Here is a 2,038-nt window from a genome sequence, read left to right as displayed (position 1 = left end):
GAAAAATATTCACGCCTTGTCATCCTTCTTTACAATTTTTTTCTGCCTTTTTAAACAAGGTAGTTTGGGCCTCTCATGCTTTATTTTAAAAGTATCTTAGTATGCCTGATATGGTGTCAGATACCAGGAATATAACAATGTATAAGACATGGGTCCCCATGGAACTCAGAGCCTTGTGGCAAGGGCATTGAAAAGCAGTTGTGGGTGTGATGTCTCTAGCAAAGGAAAAGTACAGAGATTGGAGGAGCTGATAACATAGGCACTAGTTGGGCCTGAGCAGTTTTGTGAGTCTCTGTGATATATTCCTCATTTATCCACTTATCCTGCCACTTAAAGTCTGCTACAAATATTTAGAAGCTAGAAACTCAAGCTGGAAGAAGACATACTCTGACTTCTGACACAAGGCAACGTGCCCATGGGAGCAACTGGGGAGGAAGTTCAGTGGAGGGCTTCTGTGATGGGACAGCCCCAGAGCCCCTTAAAGGGGAGCTGCTAGGAGAATCAACTTGGGTTCTGAATTATGCAGTTAGGTCTAATTGGGATTTAAACTAATAGGATAGTTGCCAAATCACTTCTTTCTACTTTATCCTCCTATCCCCTCTATGTCTTCACCAAAACCAAAAACAAAGGAAGTAGAAACACTTTTCTTAGATAAAATTAGCCTCCTACTTGGTGGTACTTCAAGTGGTAAGGCTACTGATATGACTTCAAAATTGATGCCTAAAATTACAGGCAGTAGATAAAGCCCAAATCACAAAATGATTCTTGTGGACTATTTTAAAGCTCAGACTCCCACAATCCATGCCTAGAACAGGCATGCAAATATGAGACCTTTGACATCAGAAAATATAAACCAAGAACAAACAAAAAGCAGATACTTAGGAATTCTAAAATTTGAGAATTTTTACAGTGCCCAGCATTAAAAACAATACTGTACCCCAGAGCAAACATGATATTTCATACATATTACACTATAAAAAGACCAAAAGAATTTGAAAATAATTTTTGGAATCTCAACAGAATTGGGTCAAACTTTTGAATGTTCATGGCACTGTAAAATAAATAAAGTAGGGATTTGACTATAATCTCTTGAGTGTTTTAATCAACAATTATACTACTCAATTTAGATTTCAAAGTAGAATCTGTTTCTTTAAATTTAAATATATTCATCGACACATTAAATGTCATGCTATTTTGGGATGAATAGATTATTTTTATTTAGAAATAAGTGTATAAGTTTTACTGTCATGCTTCATTTCTTTAATTCTTCACTTGGCTTCTGAGACATAGCACTCTCCTGAATCCAGTCCTTCCTCACGGATCATTTCTTCTTAGTCTTGCTTGCTGGGTTCTCCTTATCTCCCTGAACTCTAAACAATGAGTGTCTAAGAACTCAGCCTTTGGACTTCTTCTCTTCTTCTCATGGCCTCAAAATCTTGAAGCAAAAGCTGTCTCCCTGACATAGAGACTCCTAGATGCAATTGCTTACTCAACCCCATCCTTAAATGTTCAAACCTTTATCCACTTGCCTCCACCAAATCTGCTTCTCCCAAACTTTTCTCCATTTAATAAATGGCAATTCTGACCTTCCATTTGGTCAGATTAAAAACTTGGAATTATCCTTGACTTTCATTCTTTCACATTTTTAATCCAATTTGTTGGCAAATCCTATCTACCCCAGCTTCTAAATATATCCAGAATGTAACTTCTCCATCCCATCTCTACTGATAATACAAACCTTCCTCATCTCTCATCTGCATTATTTCAACAGCTTCTTAACTCGTCTATTTCCTTCCCTTTTTCTCTCGAGGGTCTATTCTCAGGGTAGCTCGGGTTTTCTTTTCTAAGTCATAAGGCAGATCACATCACTTATCTGCTAAGGATCCTTTGAAAGCTGTTCATCTGACTCAGTAGAAGCCACTCAATGGATGCCCCCCCCAACACACACACATTCTCTACCATCACCATTTCTCTGATCTCATCCACTGCAGTTCTCTTTTTCTTACTCCCACTGCCTCTGCCACATTGGCTTCCCTGA

This window comes from Homo sapiens, chromosome 1, assembly GCF_000001405.40.
Source record: "Homo sapiens chromosome 1, GRCh38.p14 Primary Assembly".
In the NCBI taxonomy this organism is placed as follows: Eukaryota; Metazoa; Chordata; class Mammalia; order Primates; family Hominidae; genus Homo; species Homo sapiens.
The sequence above is the reverse complement of the archived record's forward strand: the minus strand, read 5'-3'. Positions refer to the sequence as shown.